The sequence below is a fragment of the Homo sapiens genome, chromosome 1 (assembly GCF_000001405.40).
Source record: "Homo sapiens chromosome 1, GRCh38.p14 Primary Assembly".
NCBI lineage: Eukaryota > Metazoa > Chordata > Mammalia > Primates > Hominidae > Homo > Homo sapiens.
In genome coordinates this window covers 208,714,549-208,736,039 of record NC_000001.11, presented here as the reverse complement: position 1 = coordinate 208,736,039, position 21,491 = coordinate 208,714,549, and the positions used below count along the sequence as shown (strand labels likewise).

Below are 21,491 nucleotides of genomic sequence, written 5' to 3'. Positions count from 1 at the left end.
AACAATAAAACTTGTTCACTACAAGTCTATGCATTTTGAGATCCTTAAAGTCAACAACCACTTCTCATTCATATCTGAGTCCTCAACCCTTAGCATGGTGATTAATACATAGGAGGCTATCATTCAATCCCTGGTGAATTAATGAATGAATAAATTAAATAAATAAATTCCACAACACTAATTTTGGGATTACGAAGCACTAACTTTGCTATTTAAATAGACTCTTAGTCTCAACTCTTCTAAACCATCTTCAAAAAAATCTTCAAAAAACTAGATATTAATCAATTTTGATCTTTTGGTTAGAATCATTAAATGGATTCAGATATAAATGTGTGCCCTTGGAATTAAAGTACCTCTTTTATGTGTTCCCATCCTATTTTTTTCAACACCAGCCTCTAATTCTGTCACAATACCTTATACTACAGGCAAATCATGCCATTCTTCCTTCTAGAAATACTTTACACGTCCTTGCATCTAAATATTTTTCTATGTAAATCCCTTAAACGTAAGTGATTTTCTCAAATTCATCTTTGACAGAAAAACAATCTTACTCATCTCTCAAATTTTATTTTAGACGCTACATTCTATGATCAACAGTTATTTATCAAGTTCCTTCTAAGAAGCAGTCACTGAGTTTGGTATTGCAAATAAAAACAAAGACTTGTCTGTTGCCTTCATGGTCCTGGACTTTAGAGATCACTTTATTAGGCAATCGTTCTCCCCCAGGTTTTCATGTCAGCATGTAGTACCTCTGGGTGATGTTTAATACATCCTAATCTGTATTAATGCAGCAATTAGAATACATCCTATTCCTATGAAAAGGGTGTAAGCTTTTAAATGGCACAGGCCAAGTGTCATATAGTTTTCTAGCTCTCAGTATTTTCATAGTAGTTGCTCAATAAAACCTTGATGCATTGGATTTGACTTAATCTATTCCAATCCCTTTATCTGAGAGATGAAGAAAGTGAAGTCCAGAGAGCTTAAAGAAACTACTCAAGGTCAATTAGCTAGTTAGTAGCAGAGACAGAGCTAATGCTTTTATTTCCTTGAAATGCTCTCATTCAAGTTTAAAAATTAGTGTGTGAGAGGAAACCTACTTCTATATTTCAATATTTGTCCCTTTCACATTGCATGTTTTTTGCTAAATCCCTGTCACCTTCATGTTTATAGACAAACTGTTAGTTTAGGTTAGTCCAAGCTAATTCCTTTTCTTTATTTCCATGTTTTTCTCTGGAATTTCTTCAGCACTGTCACACAATATCTCTTGCAGTATGCATTGAGATTACAGGGAGCATTCTAGCTGCAGCCACATCATGGTTTTGTATACAGAATGATAATAATGTCTGTACATTCCCAGCCTCCTTTCTGATCATGTCCAGGTAATTGCTGGTCTTTTGGCCACAATATCAGCATGTGGAGCAGATATTGCAGAAAATGAATGCAAGGGTCCCAACAACCCTATTACAAATTGTAACTGATAGTGAACCCATCATCATATAGGTATCATGTGTATTTATTTTTCTTTCTTTGAATGCATTTCCTGTACAAGCTCACATGGAAATTCACAGGCTAGATATCTGCTCAGTCTCATAGCCTGTAATTTACTCACGTCAGCTTGGTGTATTACTACGTGGAATGGTTTAGCTCCACCTGCCTTCATTGTATGCCATTTTCAAAATAATCTCTTAAAAATGATATTAGATACATTCCCAAATTAATATCCTGGAGGTTTCTCTGTTATTGACGTAACATACAGGAAAAGCGTTTTTTAAAATCTACTTTTTGTTTCTTGTATGAGGTACTTTATATGTCTTATATGAGTATATATAAGGTATAAGTGTAAGGTACTGGCTTAAAGACAATATTAATGAAGCTGTTTTCCCTTGTTCATTCTATGCTTAATAAGCTCTAAAACATCTTCTAGAAAATTGACAAAAGTGTCAAAGATTTTTACAAAAGTATACCCATTGGCTTTCCACGTTCATATATTTACCAAGTTCGTCAAACAGCTCCAGGAGATAAATGAGAGATGATTTTCTTTTCCAGGACCACAATAGGTAATGTTTACTTTTGCCTTCAGTGGGCTTTTCCCATGCTATAGAATCTTCCAGCTACTTAAAATAGGCATTACACAAGGTGTCTTGGAGTCCCCTAAAAAGTGTCTGGAACAGTGCTGGGACATTGTAGTCTTTTCCTTCCCCTCTGAAACTCAAGTTACTTATGATAGGTGACTTTGGTGCCAGGAGGGACAGAAGACCCAAGCATTGGGGTCTGGTTCTGATTCTGCCACTTGTTGGACTGACGAGTCACTTCTCTTTTCTCCATTTGCTCAGTTGTAAACTCAAATATTTGCAATCAATGGTCTCAAAGACTTTCTCTAGCTCTATTTTTTCAAGGATTCTAAAAATCTATTTTGGTTCACAGTTTCACATTCACTATTCGTCTTTCAAAACATTTGGTAGTCTGAGGTCTTTACATTGTCTGGCTCATCAGTTAATGCTGCAACATCCAATACATTTATTAAGATTTCATTGTGTGCCTTTTATGTCTCTACAAAAAAAAGAAAAAGAAATGAATTGGTGTGTGACTGCCTTTTTGAGCAAAAATCAAGGTGAACAAATCTCTCTTAATCTCTGAATGCATTTTTAATGCTCTGTTTTCTTTTTTATTCTTTTCTGTTTCTATTTTTTGTTTCAGTTTTTGTTTTATTCTTTGCTCTCTCCTGTCTTCTCATTCTTTCTTTTTTTGTGATAGGAACTATAAATGGTCTTGAATAGCCTCTCCATTGTTTCGTGCTATTTAGATTTATACTCACAGAATTTCAGAATTAGAAAATATTTTGGAGAGACACTATGTTATAATAGAAAGAGCATCAAACTTTTTATTAATAAGTCTTAATTATGTGATCTTAGGAAAACCACTTAACTTCTCTTATTCTCCATCTGTAAAACAAAGGTTATAATAAAAATATTAAACACTTTTCTGAAGACTAAACAAGAGATACTATAAAGCACACTGCAAACTTTTCTACCTAAATGTTACTTATTATTATTACATAATCCCCTAAGCTTTTCATTGGCTTAGCTCTCCCTTGCAAGCTGGTGCTTGAATTCAGTTTTGAATTCTAGTTTGCACCCGACACGTTGTATTTTTAAAAGGATAGCCAGAGCAAGCCTTCCTATTTCCATGTGGGCTATCTTTCCCTTTTAAAAGCACAATGCCTATGCTCTGACAAAGACCTTTTTCCTATGATAGCCATTTGGCAGGGGTTTTGTCTGAGTGCCTGTTCAAGCAGAACGTGTGATTTACTGTTGGTTGCGAAAGTGAAAGAGATTTTGACAAGTGGAGAAATGGAGAAAGTCTGAGCTTTGTTCATTAACATGCAATTTACTTTGTATGTGTGTAGGGGGCGGGAGACAAAGTACGGAGGGTTAGACATATGAGTTATAAACTTGAAGCCTAATTTGGTTGTGGAAACAGATCTGTGTCTGGCAGAAACACATGGCACCCTAGTCCTCAGGCCATCAGTGTTTGGGAAGCTTGATTCATTTAATTGGTAAATCATCTGTCTTGCATTGTTCTCCACCAGCATTATCTGTGAGGCAGCTGCCCACCTTGGCTAATTTAAATATGATTTAGCAGGATAGCCTCCTGTCCCTCCTGCCAGGACATTCAGAGCACCAAATTAATGTTGATTGGCATTTCCCACCCAGGATTGGTGATTCATAGATAAGATTTTGTTACTGATCTATGGCAGGAAGAGTTAGACAGCATATCTTTATTACTCCCTTTGCATTGAAGAGGGTTTGGCCCATTCCCCATTTGCTAATTTTCTTTATTTGTCTGCAAGATCCATTGTGTGAGCAGCTGTCATGCAGGTGGGGACTCCTCAAAGCATTCTGGGAAAATGTCCACCATTCCAGGCCATTCTCCTGGTTGTCTTTCTCTTTTTCAAAAAGGGCAACTAATCCTCTAAGTGACTGGGGAAATTATCTTTTCACCTTTTGGGAAACCTGATGAGAAGGTGATTTATTTGATTCAGTCAACATACTTCTAGATATCACCTTTTATGTGTAAAACATTGTGCTAGATGCTGTGGGTGACAGACAGATATGTGAATCAAAAACTATGCATTTAGGAAATCAGTTTAGATATGTCTGCAGATAACCAACTACTCTTGGAAATAATCAAGAACTCAAGGAAAATTTTAGTGATATTTGTGCCTGTATCTTTATCTAGTTTTCTTATATAGATTCCAATCCTTAAGCCACTTCTCTTTTCTGTAATTTTCCCTAGAAGCTATTTTAATTTTCCTCCCTCTTTCCCTTTTTCTTCCTAGCTTTTAAAGTTATTGTTTTAAAAAGTTAAATATAAAAAATTGAATGTGATACAATAACACTTTTGTGCTTACCACTAAAATATTTTTCACATTTGATTAAGAAATTTATTTTTAAAAGAATATGTCACTGCTAAAATTAAAGTCTTCTCAGTTCTCCTGGTCTTCCAATGTCCTTCCTTTCTTTACAGAAGTTGACACTATCATGAACGTGACAGTGAATGTGACAGTGATATGTATGTATCAAATCCATATTTTTAACCTTAACTGCATGTGAATCTATTCATAAAAAATATACAGCATCATACTGAATTTTTAGTTTATAAAATTTATATCATACATTAAACATCATACTGAAATTTGCTTTTTCTGTCAATATTATGATGAGCAGATCTGCATCATTTTATATAGATAGGTAGATAGGTATAATCTACCTTATCTCTTTTAATTACTGTATAATATGTCCCGTACCACTTTATTTATCCTTTCTTTGCCTAATGGATATTTTAGTTTTTCTACTTTTTGGTTTTTTTTTTTTTTATACTACAACCAACAATGCTTCAATGACTATCTTTGAAGATAGCGTCTTTTGCATATGAGGGAGAATTTCTCTGGGGTATATACTTAAAAGTAGAATTTCCAGGTCATAGGTTATACAAATATGCAATTTTACTAGATATTTCTGAATTGTACTTCAAAACAGTTGTGCCAATTTATATTTTTACCAGCAGTGTTTGAGAGTTATCATTTTTCCTTTTCCCTGCCAAAGTTTGGTACCTTTGACATAAATATCTTTGCCAACCTGATGGGGCTAAAGAGTATCTTGTTAGTATTTTAATTCTGATTAAAGGTAGGTGGGACTTTTTAAATATTTATCTTCTCTTTGGGCTTCATCTTCTATGAATTGCCTTTTTGTATCTTTCATTCATTTTCCTATTTGTCTTTTTCTAAATTGATTTGTAAAGTTATTATATTTTGAATATTAATGTTTTGCCTGCTATATATGCTGTAAATGTTTTCTCTTAGGTTGTGATATAACTTAATTTTGTTTATGGTATCTTTTGGTCCACAGAAATTTTGAAGATTTCTATTTTATTATTGTAGTTAAGAATGCTTTCCTATTCAAGCTTTTGCTATTTATTCTTATATTGTATTCTAATATTTTAAAATATTTTTTCACATTTAATTCATATAGACATTTGGAGTTTGTTTTTGAGTTTGGTTGAAATGAAAATCTAATTTGATTTTATTTTTTATATGAAAAGACAAGTGTTTCAGCATCATTTCGGTCCCAACTGATTTTATATATCTTCTCTAATCATATATCAAGGTCTCAGATATGCTTAGATCTCTTTCTAAACTCTTAATTGTAGTGCATTGACTTTTTTTCCTTCACTACACCTATACCATATTATCTGAATTTCTAGCTCTTTATCAAAATATTTGATATCTTTTAGGATAACTTTAAAATAGCAATTTTGCCTTTATGAGTGTTCCAGTATTCTTTTTATTTTACCTTAAAAATTTTTATGACAATTAATTTTCACTGTCAAGTCTTTGCTTCTGCAAATGCTAAGGAGTTGCAGTACCTCTGCTTCAGAATCTTTGTACTCAAACAAGTCGCATACCTTTGACTCTTCTTTATGTTGATAGAAATCCTCTGCATTCTTGCTCTTACCTTTTATGTCAGCCAATATAGCCTATACAATCTTTTTACCAGAGCCTGAATCTTTGTGTCTTGGATTCAAATCACCAACTCAAAAAATCCTTTTCCTATTTTTCCCAAGACATATGGAGACAACCATGGGTTGGCAATAATTCCTGGATTTTCAGAACAAACATATTCTCTTGAGTTCTCAAAGTGTGACTTGTTGCAATGATGTTGCCTAATACAAAACCAAAACAAAATCAAGCTTACAAACAGTACAAGTGCTAAGAGAAGCTGATATAGAGATGAAAATGAGAAGTAAAGATCTGTGAGAACTTGCAGGAAGGTGAAATTACATTTGGCTGGAGCAGTTGAAGGAATCTTCAGAAATATAGTGACATTTTAGTTGAAACTTTGAAAATAGGCAAGATTTTCAAAGAAGTGGAAAACAGCATACCTGATATAGGGAAATCAAGAGTAAAGCTGTGTTAATAGGATATAAAAATGGGACTCTGTCAAGTATGGCTCAAGAGCAAAGAGAAGTTCTAGACCACATATGTGGGATTTGCATAGAAGCTGTCCAAGAATCAGTTTCATGGAAAAAATAACATATTTTTATTACCTGTACATTCAGTCTATAAAAGAGATTGGAGAGGCCAAAAGAAATTGAAAAGGACTTTTATAGAGAGATAATTTGTTGAAATGCTGTGAGCTTCTCTCCCCCACCATCACCCTTACTCACATGTACATAATGGAATAGATGTGGAAGAGTACTTACCCTTCATCTAAAGACAAGTGAGAAGGACTTCAAAGTTGTGTTAATCATGGAGTTTTAATTTTTGCATTTTTATCTTTGACATCTTGGGGTGTTGCTAACTCTGGAGGGACTGTCTTTCCCAGGGCTAGCTAATTCCTAGAGGTAGCAAACAATTCAATTAGGACCATGCCTTGCATACGCAAACCCACAAATCTAGAGCTCATGCCCTCAAGTGCCTTCTTTATCAGACTCTCATCTTCTGGGGCACTACTCCCCTGCCCTAATCATGCCTGGGCCAGACAGCTACAGCCTCTCCACACCAGCCTGCTGAAATCATTTAAACTAATTAATCCTAAATCTGCTTACCCTTCCTGATGGCTCTTTCCTGCAGAAACCACAATAAAGACTCTTGGCTGCTTCTCCATTTCATTCCCTCTGCCTCTGACAAACCCTAGTATTTCCCTGTGGCCCTGCATGGTCTACTGTGCCTCCTGTGTCTGGCAATCTGTGAGTATAACAAACTTCTTCCTCCATGATGGTCATTTCCATGTCTGCATGTCTTACCGTACCAATGAAAACACATCCTGGGTGCTCTTAAGACAGAAGATTATTTGTAGAGTTTGGTAAGGAGAATGAGTCCATAATGGATTGAATTCTAAAAGAATTCAGTAGAGCCTGTGAATTCTAAAGGATAAGTAGAATTACTGTTGGGAAGTAACTATGGCATTAAGGTCTTCCAAGAAGCAGATGCCAAGATGGGCTCAAATGTGCAAGATATTTATGGAAAACCACCTATGAAGGACAAAGGAACAGAGAACAAGAGCCTTCCCCCATGTCTAATACCTGTGAAAGGAGAGAGAGAAGGAAGAATTTAGTAGGAAGAGCCTGAGGTTGCTGCTTAGTTCTGAGAAAGCCTCAGCGAGGCCGATGGAGAGCCCTTGAGCTGAGGTTGCCCATTAGACAAATTCTGCATCAGGTAGTACTGGTTCTTTTCTAGTAACCTGGCCATGCTCAGTCTTTGTGCAGGAGTAGCCCAGGAGAGCATGGCCTGGGATAAATTCCTCAATGAATACAAAGTTGCAGCAGCTCAGCTATGCTAGTCACAGCAGTTTCTTTTAAGGGAAATCTGAGTAGAACACCTCCATGGCTATCACAGCCAACCCAGATTGTGCATTTGCTCATGAACTAGATATGGCCACATGAACAATAGGTGATATTTCCCAGGAGACTCCTGGAGGTGCAATGAGATCTCTGCAGTAAGAGGTTGAATGTGTACCTTTGGATGTTCACAGATGAGGGAAGGAATCATAATTGGCTAACAAGAGGAGATACATTTGACTATGTTAAGAGAACTGGAGGTAAGAGATCCTCAGTGTTATGATGGGGAGGAGGTATATTTGAAAATTCCACCGAGCATCCCATGGAAGAAGGAATCAGTATTATATATAGATATATATGTCTCTCTCTCTCAATTATCTATCTATCTATCTATCTATCTATCTATCTATCTATCTATCTATCTATCCATCCCTCTATCCATCTATCCATCCATCTCTCCGTCTGTCTATCCATCCATCTGTCCATCCATCCATCTGTCTATCTATCCATCCGTCTGTCCATCCATCCGTCTGTCTATCTATCTATCCATCCATCCATCCATTCTATCTATCTATCTGCCAAGCTCAGAGAGCACTAATGTCATCTTAGTATAATATTAGTCCAGTAAGACTTTTCTTGCTCCCTTATCTTTTTTTCCCTGTACCAGCCCTGGCCCTGTAGATTCATAAACCGTAATTAGCATCTCAGACAGGAAGAGACCAAAAGACAAAGGAGAGACACAGGAAATAAGCAGAAATGGATTATATCCCTTTCACCCTTCAGACTTCTCACTCGCAGAGGTTCAAAACGCATTTAGGATTCTCCCCGAAAAGAATCTAAAATTTAAAATTTTTGTCTATCTAGTGTATTTCCAGTGGCATTTAAGTCATCAGTGATGTGCTAACCTTTGTGATAGATCAATGCCTTATGCATTCCTTTAGCTGGCCCTCCTCTTAATCCTTCCATGTTGTCTGATCTCAGGTCTTGAATCCTGGACCTCACTATTTCCATCCTATCATTTAGCCCCATTTTGTATTTTTTTAGCTTCTTATTCAGTTTAGATTCCGTTGTCCATCTCTTCTTCCTGTCTTTTGATCCATGAGTTCAGCTGCCCACTAGCAACGTATTACATATGTACTTTTGAATATCATGAAGAAAATCATGCAATGATACAGATGCCACTATAAATTTATATTCTGCATCACCAGTGGGACCCTCAGGATTGCCCACCAATCCTTCTGTTTCCCTAGTTACAATTTGTTCCCTACTATTCTCAAATCTTTGAACACCATCTCTCCTTTCATCTCATTCTCATATATTCTCTTTCCAGTTCATGCAGAAAATAAAAGCCATAATCTTTTATGCCACAAAATTTCCCACTTGCGTCTGGTTTATTGCAATAGCCTCCTAACTACTACTAGTTTTGTCACATTCCAATCCATTTCCAACATTGCAGCTAATCTGATCATTTCACTACCCTGCTTAAAATCTTTCAAACTCATAGGATGGAACACAGACCGCCTAACAGGATATGTACTCTCTTATTAGACCAACTCCTGCCTATCTCCATCAGTCTCATTTCTTCCCAGGCCATACTCAAACGCAATGCCCCCAACATATCGAACCTCAGTTTTTAAGCTGCTGCTTGACTCTTTCTGCCCTTCAGACCCTTCTTCACATTTTAATACCCACCTAAAATAGTTTTCTACTCTCTCTTTGCCTAACCAATTATCATCTACCCTTTATGTCTCAGCTTGTATGTAGATCCTCCTTTGAAACCTTTTCTGACCACCCCCAAACCTGTGTCTGATGCCCCTTCTAGAATCTTTCTAGTGCTCTGCACATCCATATCATACTAAGTAACACAGCATGTTGCAATTTCCTTGTCTGTCTTTCCTGCCCTATGAGGGCTAAAACTGTGTCTCTGTTGTTAATAAATTTATTCCCAGATCTAAACAGAGTTCCTAGAAACAGAAATCACTCAATAAATGCCTGCTGAATGAATAAATGTGAATAGTCACTCTAAAATGCTATTGTCACTTAGAAGGAAAACAAAAACAAGGAACTTTATGAAACAGCTTATAATTAAGGAATCTTGGCTATGGATCCCTCATACTTAGAAACATACAGGCATAATCTGAACACTGTATGGGTATTTATACATGTGATGAAAATCTTGAACTCAGACCAAAGCTGCTGTGTTTATAAGCAGCCACCAAATCAGCAGATAATTTTGCATCTTATACCGTAAAGAAACCTAGTACTGTAGTTGGCTGACATTCATAATTAATATCTTGTAATAACCCAAATGTCTTTATTTCTATCTGAATCTTTATGATAAAATTGCTAATAAACCTCTTTCTCAACATGAATAACAATTACATTTCCTCTGGTAAAAGATATGCAAGTGCATTTCCCTTCATAAATGAGAGTTAGAGTCAATGAATGCAACAACTCTTTTTATCTCCACAACTCTGTTGCAGTAAAATGGTCATATAGAATTCTAGCAAAATGCCATACATTATCCTCCTTAAAAATTAGCATCTTTAGTGCCACAATGAATACTGATTTATAGACTTCTTAAATATCCTCTTATAACATTTTTTTTAGCATAAGATAGCTAACACCTCTGAGTTAGAATGTACTAGAATAACATTACCCAAAGCAACCGCTGTAACTCAGTAGCTTCCCAGCTGAAAGATGCCTTTTCCTGCTGGGCTGAAAGTGAATGCAGTGTTAGGAAAGCCCTTGCTTTCAACTTTTATTAGGTGGTAGCTACAACCTAACAGGGCTAATTGAGTAGGGGAACTGTTACACAAATCATTTTAATCCTGAGCATCTTCACATACTGTGAATACTGCTTCTTGCTTGGTTTAAAGCTTTTAACCTTTAAATTAATTACAAATTGTGTTGGTTTGTGATATCAGGCTTAATGGTCAGGGAGGAAAATAGCCCACCCAAGAATGAGTTATGCTTCATGAAGTTGGGGAGGGGACCCCTCTAGTCACTGTCCACTGTGCCCCTGGGGAGAAAAAAACTCCTGTAGCATTGGTGTGTGAACCGGAGGCTGTGGGCTAGGAATGGGGAAATAGAACTCAGGGTCTCTCTTAGGCACTGGGACTCTTCTCTCCTCTTGAATTCTGAGATTAGAAGAGAGAAAGAGAAGCCTGAATCCATGCCCTGACCATAAGCTGGGTTATACACCAGTGAGACCCTGCTTTCTATTTCAAAAACAGCAACAACAATTCACACGGAAAACTCTCTCATTTAAATAGCACTGAACTAGTATATGAGTACAAAAATACAGTTAGATAGGATGAATAAAATCTAGTATTTGATAACACAACAGGGTGAATAAAATCAACACTAATTTATTATACATTTGAAAATAACTAAATATAATTTGAATGTTTGTAACACAAATAAATGATAAATGCTTGAGGTGATGGATACCTCATTTACCCTGATGTGATTATTACACATTGTATGCCTGTAGCAAAATATCTTACATACCTCATAATGTGCTACTATATACCTGTAAAAATTAAATTTTTAAAAAATATAGCACTGGACTGTTTTCCAAGCACTGCTGGGACATTATTTTGGTCTCTGAAACCACCTTGGGCATGATGTAAATCCCTCTTTTCCCATCACATATTTTACAGGAAAGCAAACAGAGTTATTACTTTTCCTGTTTTATGGATTGGAAACTGAGGCTTAGAGGGGTGTAGTGATTGGTCCAACATTATACAATTAATAATGATGAAGTTAATGCTGGAACTCAAATATGTGACTCCTGGTTCAATTCTGATTGAAACACTTTTTTATCTGTATTGTCCTACATTGTTCATATATTACAGTCTCACAGCTTCGATAGTACATTCTTTCTGTTGCTCAACCACAATTCTTAAAAAGTAAAAGACTTCCTCATTCTTATGCTATCTCAGTGGAAAAAAGAGAACTGATACACATAGCATACAAGCTATATTAACTTATCTCTCTCTAGAATAAATGGTCATATTTAGTAAATGTTTTCTGGCATAGGTTAGGCTAAAGTGATAGCAAATAACAGTGTAAGATTTATACTAGATAAACTGAAAGAGAATGAAAATATCTGAATCAAAATATGGAAGTGCAGAAAAATATTGAGATGTGCTTCAGAGAATACCAGACCTATTTGCAGTAGTGAAAGGAACAATTAGACATCAGTTATATGCATTACTTCTACAGAGTGTTTGAAGTTATAAAGGCCCATCAGAGTATTAACTTTTTCCCTTATAAGGGTTGAACTCTCTCCTAGCCAGGCAGCAGTGCAGGCCTATTCACCCTTAGTTTTCCTTGAACATGGTGTTAGGGTGAAGTAGGACTTGGGTTTAGTAGGAGGGCACTGATGCTGGAAAGCTGTTGCAAGCAAGAAACATTGATATAGGAAGTCAAATCTTCATTTATGTGCAAACATTATTATTTCTGGAGTCCATTGTGTAGTAGGACCTGGCTTTGGATCATGGGCAAAAGTATGATACAGATATTTACATAGTTTTGAAGTATCTCTCCACATGATACTTATATCTACAAATGGAAAAATAACAAGTGTAGAGAAACCTGGCAATCACCCCTTTACATGTATATGTATTCGTTTCCTAGGACTACCATAACAAAGTCCACAAACTGGATGACTTAATCAACATATTTTTTTTATAAGAATCCTAGAAGCTAGAACCAAGATCTAGGTATCAGCAAGGTTGGTTTCTTCTGAGGACTCTCCTTGGCTTGTAGCTGTCTGTCTGTTTCCTGTCCCTTCACATGTTTTTTTCCTCTGTTGTCTGTGTCCTAATTTCCTCTTCTCATAAGGACGCCAGTCATATTGAATTAGGGTTCACCCAAAGGACTTCATTTTAGCCTAATTGCCTTTCTGAAGACTCTACCTCCAAATGCAATCACATTCTGAGCTACTGGGGTTTAGGATCTCCACATATGAATTCTGGGGTGAGAACATAATTCTGTCCATAATACCAAATAATCAAAGTTAGTGTCATCAGTAAAAAAGCATGTTTTAAAAATTGAGGTAAAAGTGACATGTAATAAACTTAATATCTCTCAGTGTATAACTCTTTTATAATTTCTAACATTATTCATTCCTTTGTGTAGATTTAATTTTTTGTCTGGCATGATATTGCTTCTGCCTAAAGAAATTCGTTTAACATTTCTTATTGTACATTTTAGTTGGTAACTTATTTTTCAATTTTTGTTTGCCTGAACAATTCTTATTTTACTTTCATTTTTGAAAGATGTTTTCACCTTTATAAAGTCCTGTGTTGACAGTTTAAAAAAAAAAATTGTTTTTTCCCCAGCATTTTAAAGATGTCCCTTGACTTGTGTAATTTCTGATGAAAAAAATCTGATGCATTCTTATGTTTGTCCCCTGTATGTTATATGCCTTTTTTTCCCCTCTGGCTGCCTTCCAGATTTTCTCTTTAGTTTGACTATAATACATTTAGGCTTTTTGTTTGTTTTTGATAATGTTAGTATTCTCTGAACTTGAATCTGTGGTATGATGTATGTCATTAATTTTGAAAAATTATGAGCCATTGTCTTTTAAATTTTTCTTCTATTTTCAGCGGTCTCTCTCCTTTCTTTCTGGAAGCCCAATTGCATGCATATTGGACAATTGGATACTTTCTCACAGCTCCTGAATGTTCTGTCTCTCACACACATTCTTTTCTTTTTTTTTATCTTTATGTTTTAGTTTAGGTAATTCCTATTAAGCTATTTGATTTTTGTCTCCAGCCTAGAGTACTGATAGGCATGCTGGAGAAAAAAATCAAATGGCTTGTAAGTACTGATGAGTATAGAAGGCATTCTTTATTCTTACCATTTTAATTAATATTATTTTAGTGTTTTTATTTGATTCCTTGTTATATTTTCATCTTGTGGCTGAAATTTTTACATCTGTTTATGCATGTTGTCCTCCTTTTCTACTATTTTCTTTAACATATTAATTAGAATTATTTTAAATTATTTCTCTAATAGTTCCCTTATATGAATCATACATCTCTGTGTGTGGTTCTGTTGATTGCTGTGCCTCTTGACAGTGTTTTTGTTGTTATTGTTTTGTTTTGTTTTGTTTTGCTCTTCTTTGTGTTGTAAATCTGGGTCAAAAGCCAGACATTGAGTACAGAACACTTGAGACTGAGGCAATGGTATTTGTGCCTGGAAATGGAACACTTCTACTAGACTTTTAGTGTGCAGAGTTGAGTCAATTTAGTCATGTGTTGAGCTAGTCAACATTTCAGTTTCATGGTAAAAGTTACCCTCAATATAACACTGGCTTCAAATTCTTCTAATATTTCCTTGTACTTAGTGTGAGGTCTGGGCTGCTGGTGGATTTTTTTCAATATTCCTGTATGGCCTTCAGCTTTAGGTTTTCTCTATGAATCTATACCTCAAAGATGGTCTTTTTCTATGATCTTGTCCCTTCACACAGTAAATTGTTGTTACTTGTTCTTATTTGATGCTTAATAGCCTAGGTGTGGTGGGGGCCGGAAGGGTATTCTCTATCACCTCTGCTCAACCTCAGTTTGGGGCAAGCCCAGCATTCCTGGCTTCCAGGGGTGGACTTTCTCAGTGATCCTTCTCCTCCCCTAGTGATAGATCTCCAGATCTGGGCCAGGATGGTTTCCTGTCTTTCCTCTAAGGGTAGGCAGTTTTTCTGTTTTCTTCTAGCCTCAATAGGTCTTCACTTGAGAATGATAGTATTTGCCAGCCATCCCCTAGTGACATAAGCTTACTTTTCCATGGGGGAGAAGGACCTGGGCAGAGCTCTGTTGTCTTTCCTCTTTCCTGCAGCAATGGCTGCTCCCCTTCCCCAAGCCTGCAATACAATAGTTTTTTTTTTTTTTTTGAGATCAGTTGCCCTGCTCCCAATCTTTCTAATGAACCCCCCATGAGGTTAATAAAGAGATTTCATGTAATCCCAGCACTTTGGGAGTCCAAGGTGGGTGGATCACGAGGTCAGGAGTTCAAGACCAGCCTGACCAACATGGTGAAACCCTGTCTCTACTAAAAATACAAAAATTAGCCGGGTATGGTGGCGCACGCCTGTAATCCCAACTACCCGGGGGGCTGAGGCAGCAGAATTGCTTGAACCCAGGAGGTGGAGGTTGCAGTGAGCTGTGTTCACACCACTGAACTCCAGCCTGGGCGACAGGATGAGACTCCATCTCAAAAAAATTAAATAAAAACAAAGAAACTTCAAATAGTTAGAAACTCCCTCATATCTATGGCTCTATGCTCTCACACTAGCTCACACTCTGATTTTAGCCATTTGTTAAAAGTTCAGCTGAACTCTTATTTGTTTTCATGGCTGCACCACATTCTTTTGGTCATCTGTCCTCTGCCCCAAATAAGCCAGGGCTTGTATCCTGCATCTGCCAAAAGGTGCCTGTTTTTCTTTAGACTTCAGACTAACTCGTTTCCCTGCCATGTCAACTCTCTGATGGGTTCAAGAAAAGTTGCGATTTTGTAGATTTTCCACTTTTTCTTCTTGTTAGGTGGGAAGCAACTTTCTTTAAAACTTTCTACATTCTTAGTGGATATTCTGATTTATTCTTCTTAACAAAATTGTGTCCATACTCAAAGCTTCTCAAGCCATAAATGTTGGGAATCATGGCATGTATAGAAATGAGGCAAGGTATGTCCTTTGAGTTTCAGAAGACCATCAGTGGGTGTGATTTTACTTGGATATGGGTTACAGAGGCTGACAAGAGAAAATAAATGCTGAAAGAACATTTGGCATAAGTCCTTTGGAATTTATTGGCATTCTTTTTAAAGTAGTGTATGGCCAATTTTTGTAAATGTTGCATGAACACTTGGAAAGGGGTACTAATTTGTGATTTTATAGACTAAAGTCTGATTGATAGCGATTAAAGTCCCTATTAATTTTTTATTCCTATTATTTAAAATTTGTGTCCATTTTTATATTCTTGAATTGTCAAACATGTTTTTATCACTTTGTTCTCATAATTCTAATAGTTTTGATAAAAGCTAGCCCATATTAATGTAAAATAAGGAATTTAGTACAATTTTACTTCTTTCTGCTCACCATTACACAATCTTTATAACATAATATAAAGTTATAAAACTAGATATTATTTTTGTTGTATAACACTTTCCAGATTATTTTTACTTTAGCACTTTTTTAAAACAATTAAATTAATATTTCAACATAACTATGTATGTGAACTGATAGAATTGTACTTGCAATCCTTTCCTACTCCACCTTCATCTTTCTTGAGTTCCCACATTTGCTTCACAGTATCTGTCAGCTAGATTGTACCTTAGAATAACCTTTTCAGGAAGAATACATGGGTGGGATAGTTTTTGAGCTCTTACCTATGTAAAAATATATTTCACTGCCACGATTCATAAGCCCCTCTTTCAGCTATAGTAGTTTTATATTGCTGAAAGTTAGAAGTTGGAAACAAAATAATTACTGATGAGAGAAGCTTCAATGGAAGTAGTGTCTTTATGTGTCTCAAAAATCCGTTCTTGGCTGGGTGCAGTGGCTCACGCCTGTAATCCCAGCACTTTGGGAGGCCGAGGCGGGCGAATCACGAGGTCAGGAGATCGAGACCATCCCGGCTAAAACGGTGAAACCCCGTCTCTACTAAAAAATACAAAAAATTAGCTGGGCGTGGTGGCGGGCGCCTGTAGTCCCAGCTACTTGGGAGGCTGAGGCAGGAGAATGGCGTGAACCTGGGAGGGGGAGCTTGCAGTGAGCCGAGATCACCCCACTGCACTCCAGCCTGGGTGACAGAGTGAGACTCCATCTCAAAAAAAAAAAAAAAAAAAAAAAAAAAAAAATTCCGTTCTCTTATAGCAGGAGGAAGAATGATCAGGCTATCTGGTTGTAGCCTGGGCTCTATATCCCAAGTGTAGGTGTAATGTTGTTGTTTCGTTTCATGTGTCTGAATGATTTTTCTACCTTGTTCAGACACTCTCCCTCCCAGAATATTTCCTTCATGAAACTCACTTTAGTTTGAATGCTATCATTGAATGATTTCATTAGTTTCTGGTGTCGTTCAGACTGTGTTTTCTGCCTTTTCATGGCTATTTCAATAGGAGACTGAAAAGGAATAAATCAGGCATGAACAGCTGACCTCTTTAACAACCCTTAGTGTTATTCCTTCATTAAAGAAATATTTATGCAGTACATATTTAAAGGCTACATTACATTTCAAAAAGTTTACTTAACCATGCTCAAAAGTTTAATCATGTTTAGACATTCGCGTTATTTTAGATTATGTGTTAGTAAAATAGTTATTTATTAAGAAACAATGTATTAAGGTGCAGTCTTAAATGTAGAAGTCTTAGGACAAAGGTTGTGATAATTTTAATAAAACTTCATATATAATCCCGAATTCTTTTCCCAAAAGGTCATCACCTTTCAACTTCTACCAACAAATGGTTATGAGTGAAGGTTTAGCTTTTTGCTATGAGAGATTACTCTAACCAACATATGCCTGACTACCAGGAAGGAAGTAATATCAAAGAAATGGCTGAGCACAGAAGGCTCTTGCCCTATGGACAATGTGATAGAGTTGCACAGAGAGGTTGGAACTTAGTCCCTGGCTAGAAGGTGAGAAAGGAATTCAAAGAAAGTCAAGCCAGAGATGAAACTAGAATGAACAAGAGAAGCAAAGAAGAGGAAATGAATAGGTTAAATTGCTGGGAAATAAGAGCAGATGGGCTAAAGAAGGAATGGGAGATGGAGAGTCCAGACCAGATGCTGAAATCATAAGGACAGGGCATAGATAATACCAGGACAATTTTCTACCATGAACAAAAACATGTCAGCATAGCCAGAGAAGCAGAGGCCTGAGGCCATAACTTCCCAAAAGGGACTCTGGAGAAATCCATCCAGGACCTTCAGTGAATCCTCCCTACTCTTAAAGATCCCTTATTACCTCTCACTATGAAAGCCATGGGCACTTTGGTGTCTCCACTAATGCAACAATACAGTGCTGGGGTCATAGTGATTCTTAGTAAGTGCTTGCAGTACGCTCATTGAGCCCAATTCCTGTATTTGATAACTAGATTTTTCCCAATTCAGTGCAGAGGGGGGGCTCCCACTAAAATCCAAACCAGCTAAACCCACCACCTTTCACCTACTAGGCTGCAAGTGCCAAAGGAATGGAAGAAGATTCAAAACCAGACATGGACAAAGGTCCAGTAGCTCCAGGGTGGATGTCTAAGTCCTTGAAGAATATAAGGAACAGCTCCCGGGCTGTGTTGAAAGCTCCAATTTTATTTTAAAATGTGATTAGGAGCTGGGGAAGCTGATGCTTTTTGAAACACTCTTGACTCCAGCATCTGTAGCAGCTCTGAATTATTTGGCGGCTTAAATTGCAGCAGGCAAGTTGAACAGTGAGCATTTTTCAGTAGTAGTGGCTGAACTAACATTCCCCCCGCCCCCTGCCACATTTTTTAAAGCCCACAGAATGCTAACTGAATAGCTCATTATTTCCTTTGAAAAGGCTGGACTCTGCAGGTTGTCTCCACCTTTGCTGTTCCCTCTGTGGTGCTGGCTTTAAATAGTTCAGCCCTAAGTGCTCAGGTTGCTTTGGAAGTCAAAAATCTCTGACTTTGATCTCTCCATTCGTACCTGAAAAGCACCGAACGCTGATCCAGACTACTCCAGGGGTTTCTAGAGCAAGCTAATATCTCAGTAATAACAGTACCTTAAAATCGTATTCTACTATCCCATTTTCAAAGAATTTTGCATACAAAATCTTACTTTAAAATGTAAAATTAATACCTCACTCTGTGTGATGGTTAATTTTATGTGTCAACTTAATGGGGACATAGGATCCCCTGATAGTTGGTTGAACATTATTGCTGGGTGTGTCTGTGAGGGTGTCTGGGAAAAAAACTGGCACTTGACATTTGAATTGGTGGACTGAGTTAAGCAGATGCCCCCCCGATCCCCGCTTCAATGTTGGTGGGTATCATCCAATCTATTGACGGCCAGAATAGAACAAAAGGGAGGCAGAGGGAAGGTTGAACTTGGACTTTGCTTGACTACTTGAGCTGGGACTTTCATCTACTGCCCCCAGCATTCCTGGTCTCAGGTCCTCAGACTTGGCCTTGAATCTATCCCTCCAGCCTCTAGCTCTCAGGCCTTCAGCCCACACCACTGGATTTCCTGCATCTCCAGCTTGCAGATGACAGACTGTGGGACTTTATAGTCTTTATCATCTTGTGAGCCAATACAAATATACCTCTTTATATACATATACATTTATTTATAACATATTATAAATACCAATAGGAGATTGTATATGTTCAATAGGTATATAATCTCTGTTGGTTCTGCTTCTCTGGAGAACTCTGACTGAGGCACTCTTTGAGAAAGGCGGTCCCATTTAACAGAGGAAGCCACTAGACACAGAGAGGTAGGTGACACCTCTTTAAGACAATAAGCTAACTAGGGAAAAAAAAACAAAAACAAAATGAAATGGGTCCTAGGAAAGCATCACTGACCAAGTGTTTCCTCTATAATCTCACACATTTTTTTCACTGAGGATGGGAATAAATTTGATAAAAATAGGCAGGCACTGGAGGGGAGGCTTGCACAACAGGGCTGCATTTCTAAAACCTTCCCATCTCTTTCAGGGCAGGCATGTCCCAGGTCCCAAAAACCTTCCTGTAGGAAGCTTCTTCACCAAGCATTCTCTCCATGAAGGATTCTGTTGTGGAAAGCCAACCCCTCCATGGTCTGTTCAGGTGTGCCTGTGAATTATCCTCAGATGATTTTGACATTAGCCTGCTGGCAGAAACGTTTTGTGAGTCTATTTCTAGTGGCAAGATTAGAGTCCCTAAAGCTAGAAATTGCATATAGCATGTGCTACAAAATAAACTTCCACATTCAGGACCTTGCACAGTCTCACTTTAGCTTGGGAGCCTGGGTAAAAGCTGGCACCCACTTCACATAAACAGGGTTGGGACCATATGGGAGAGGTCACAGGGGAACGACAGAGATGAGAATTATTTAGAGAGCATGAAAACCAACCTCCTCATGTAACAGATGCATAAACTGAGGCCTTGAATTAGTAGTTGGTTCACGAGTAGAAACTGAACCTCCTGCTTGCTAGTTTAATGTTTCCCTTAACCCACGCAACAACCAAAATCATTCTGCTGATCCAGGTAGGAAGAGGCACTTATGAGATCTGATCTCTTGGATGCTGTCTACATAACTGGCCTCTGGAAGTTTGCTTAGCCTTTCTTGGAATGATTGTTTTCATGCCTACTGCCTCTATTCTGACTGGGGCCAACTTTTATGCTCAAGAATCATGCCACAGTACTAGTGCCAAGGGATGCCTGTTCCTGTCCAATGGTGATGGAAGTACTAAAACTGAAGTTATCATTATGAAAATGTAAAAAAGACAGCCTTATTGACCTGGTCTGTCAAATGGGAAGTTGGCTCTTTTAGGGAGCTTTGGAGGAGGGAGAAAACCAGTTCTATCTGTATTTTATGCTGTCTATCATCCTGATATCCAAGTTTGCATTACATTTCAAAGCATGATAAGTCCATTTCCTCATCCCTTGACAGAGGCCAGAATAACATTAACCAGATTGATTTTTATTCTCTCCTCTCTGTGTAACCATTAGACATGTGTTCTGCTGGAGTCAGCCCAGTGTGGACTTAATTAATGCCCACCAGTTATTGTCTATTGCTTACCTTCTTACTGATACTTAGTTCTTGAAAAACTGACCATGGGCAGGGAGAAGAATGCAGATGCATGCCAATGAGTCTTGATGGTGTGGAGCAAGTCACACTGAAGGCATGGAGTCACATCCCCATCTGGTCTTTATCCATACAGACACAGCTCATTTTTCCCTCCTACACTAGCAAGGGCATGTGTTCCAATGCCCATATCTGTGGTAAAAGAGTTGTGATTCATTGAACCATCTCATTTAACATCCCAAGCCTCAACTATCTTTGATTGACTCAGAGATTTGTCTGGGTCTAACTTCTTGCTTCTGTAAGGGAGATCCAGGTAAATGATATAAAGACAAAAATCAGAGGCATAATATGTGCAAATAAAAAGAAATTCAAAGTAAAGAAGCTCAGTTCAGCCCAGGCGACCTGAGTATTAAAAGGCAAACAATTTTATCAAATATATACATATATATGTTAAATATATTTGATAAATATATCTTTCACTTGGCTCATCAATTCATATGCAACTCTATTTTTCAAGGATTATCTTAATGCATCATTTCTATAAGGAAAATGAATTGACTCTTGTGGCAGGTTGTAATTATCAAAAATGGCACATAGCTGGGAGTGGTGGCACATACCTTTAGTCCCAGCTACTCAAGAGGCTGAGGCTGAAGGATTGCTTCAACCCAAGAGTTCAAGGCTGTAGTGAGCTATATCATGCTACTGTATAGCAGCCTGAGCAACAGAGCAAGACCCTGTCTCTTAAAAAAAAAAAAGGCATAGTGATATTTCCATACAATATAATCTCCCTGAACCTCACCACTCTCCATTAAGAGATAAAGGTTATTTCCCTTCCTTTTACCCTTGGCAGGCTTGTGACTGTGTCACATAGAAAATGTGGTGGAAGTGATGTCACGTGACTTCTGAA

At 37.4% G+C, this 21,491-nt stretch overlaps 2 long non-coding RNA genes across 7 annotated transcripts in view, besides 3 other annotated features; one reads left to right on the top strand and one right to left on the bottom strand.

Annotated features, from left to right (window-relative positions):
* Window positions 224–393: an enhancer, noted in NCBI's record as "experimental_2353 CRE fragment used in MPRA reporter constructs". NCBI's record gives its function as "activates a minimal promoter by MPRAs in K562 erythroleukemia cells, with activity observed for the introgressed 1:208909077 or rs58229061 variant allele {active_cell/tissue: K562}" and the evidence as "EXISTENCE:reporter gene assay evidence [ECO:0000049][PMID:34662402]".
* Window position 308: a transcriptional cis regulatory region, noted in NCBI's record as "Neanderthal adaptively introgressed variant 1:208909077 (GRCh37/hg19 assembly coordinates) or rs58229061 in the experimental_2353 CRE". NCBI's record gives its function as "modulates activity of the experimental_2353 enhancer by MPRAs in K562 erythroleukemia cells {active_cell/tissue: K562}" and the evidence as "EXISTENCE:reporter gene assay evidence [ECO:0000049][PMID:34662402]".
* On the bottom strand, window positions 2,856–7,352 carry LINC01717 (long intergenic non-protein coding RNA 1717). The gene is made up of 4 exons (NR_146914.1): window positions 7,306–7,352; window positions 6,763–6,897; window positions 5,965–6,222; window positions 2,856–2,942 (listed from the first exon to the last, which is right to left on the bottom strand). It is a non-coding gene; the product is annotated as a long intergenic non-protein coding RNA 1717 (long non-coding RNA).
* Window positions 5,174–5,343: an enhancer, noted in NCBI's record as "experimental_2323 CRE fragment used in MPRA reporter constructs". NCBI's record gives its function as "activates a minimal promoter by MPRAs in K562 erythroleukemia cells, with activity observed for both the introgressed and non-introgressed 1:208904127 variant alleles {active_cell/tissue: K562}" and the evidence as "EXISTENCE:reporter gene assay evidence [ECO:0000049][PMID:34662402]".
* A 272-nt stretch (window positions 7,353–7,624) lies between the features above and the next one.
* Window positions 7,625–21,491, top strand: part of LOC105372892 (uncharacterized) — a 57,069-nt gene continuing 43,202 nt past the window's right edge. For all 6 annotated transcript variants that reach the window (XR_007066854.1, XR_001738436.2, XR_007066856.1 and 3 more), the window contains exons 1-2: window positions 7,625–7,717; window positions 8,034–8,099. This is a non-coding gene — a long non-coding RNA (uncharacterized LOC105372892). The remainder of the gene's footprint in view (window positions 7,718–8,033; window positions 8,100–21,491) is intronic.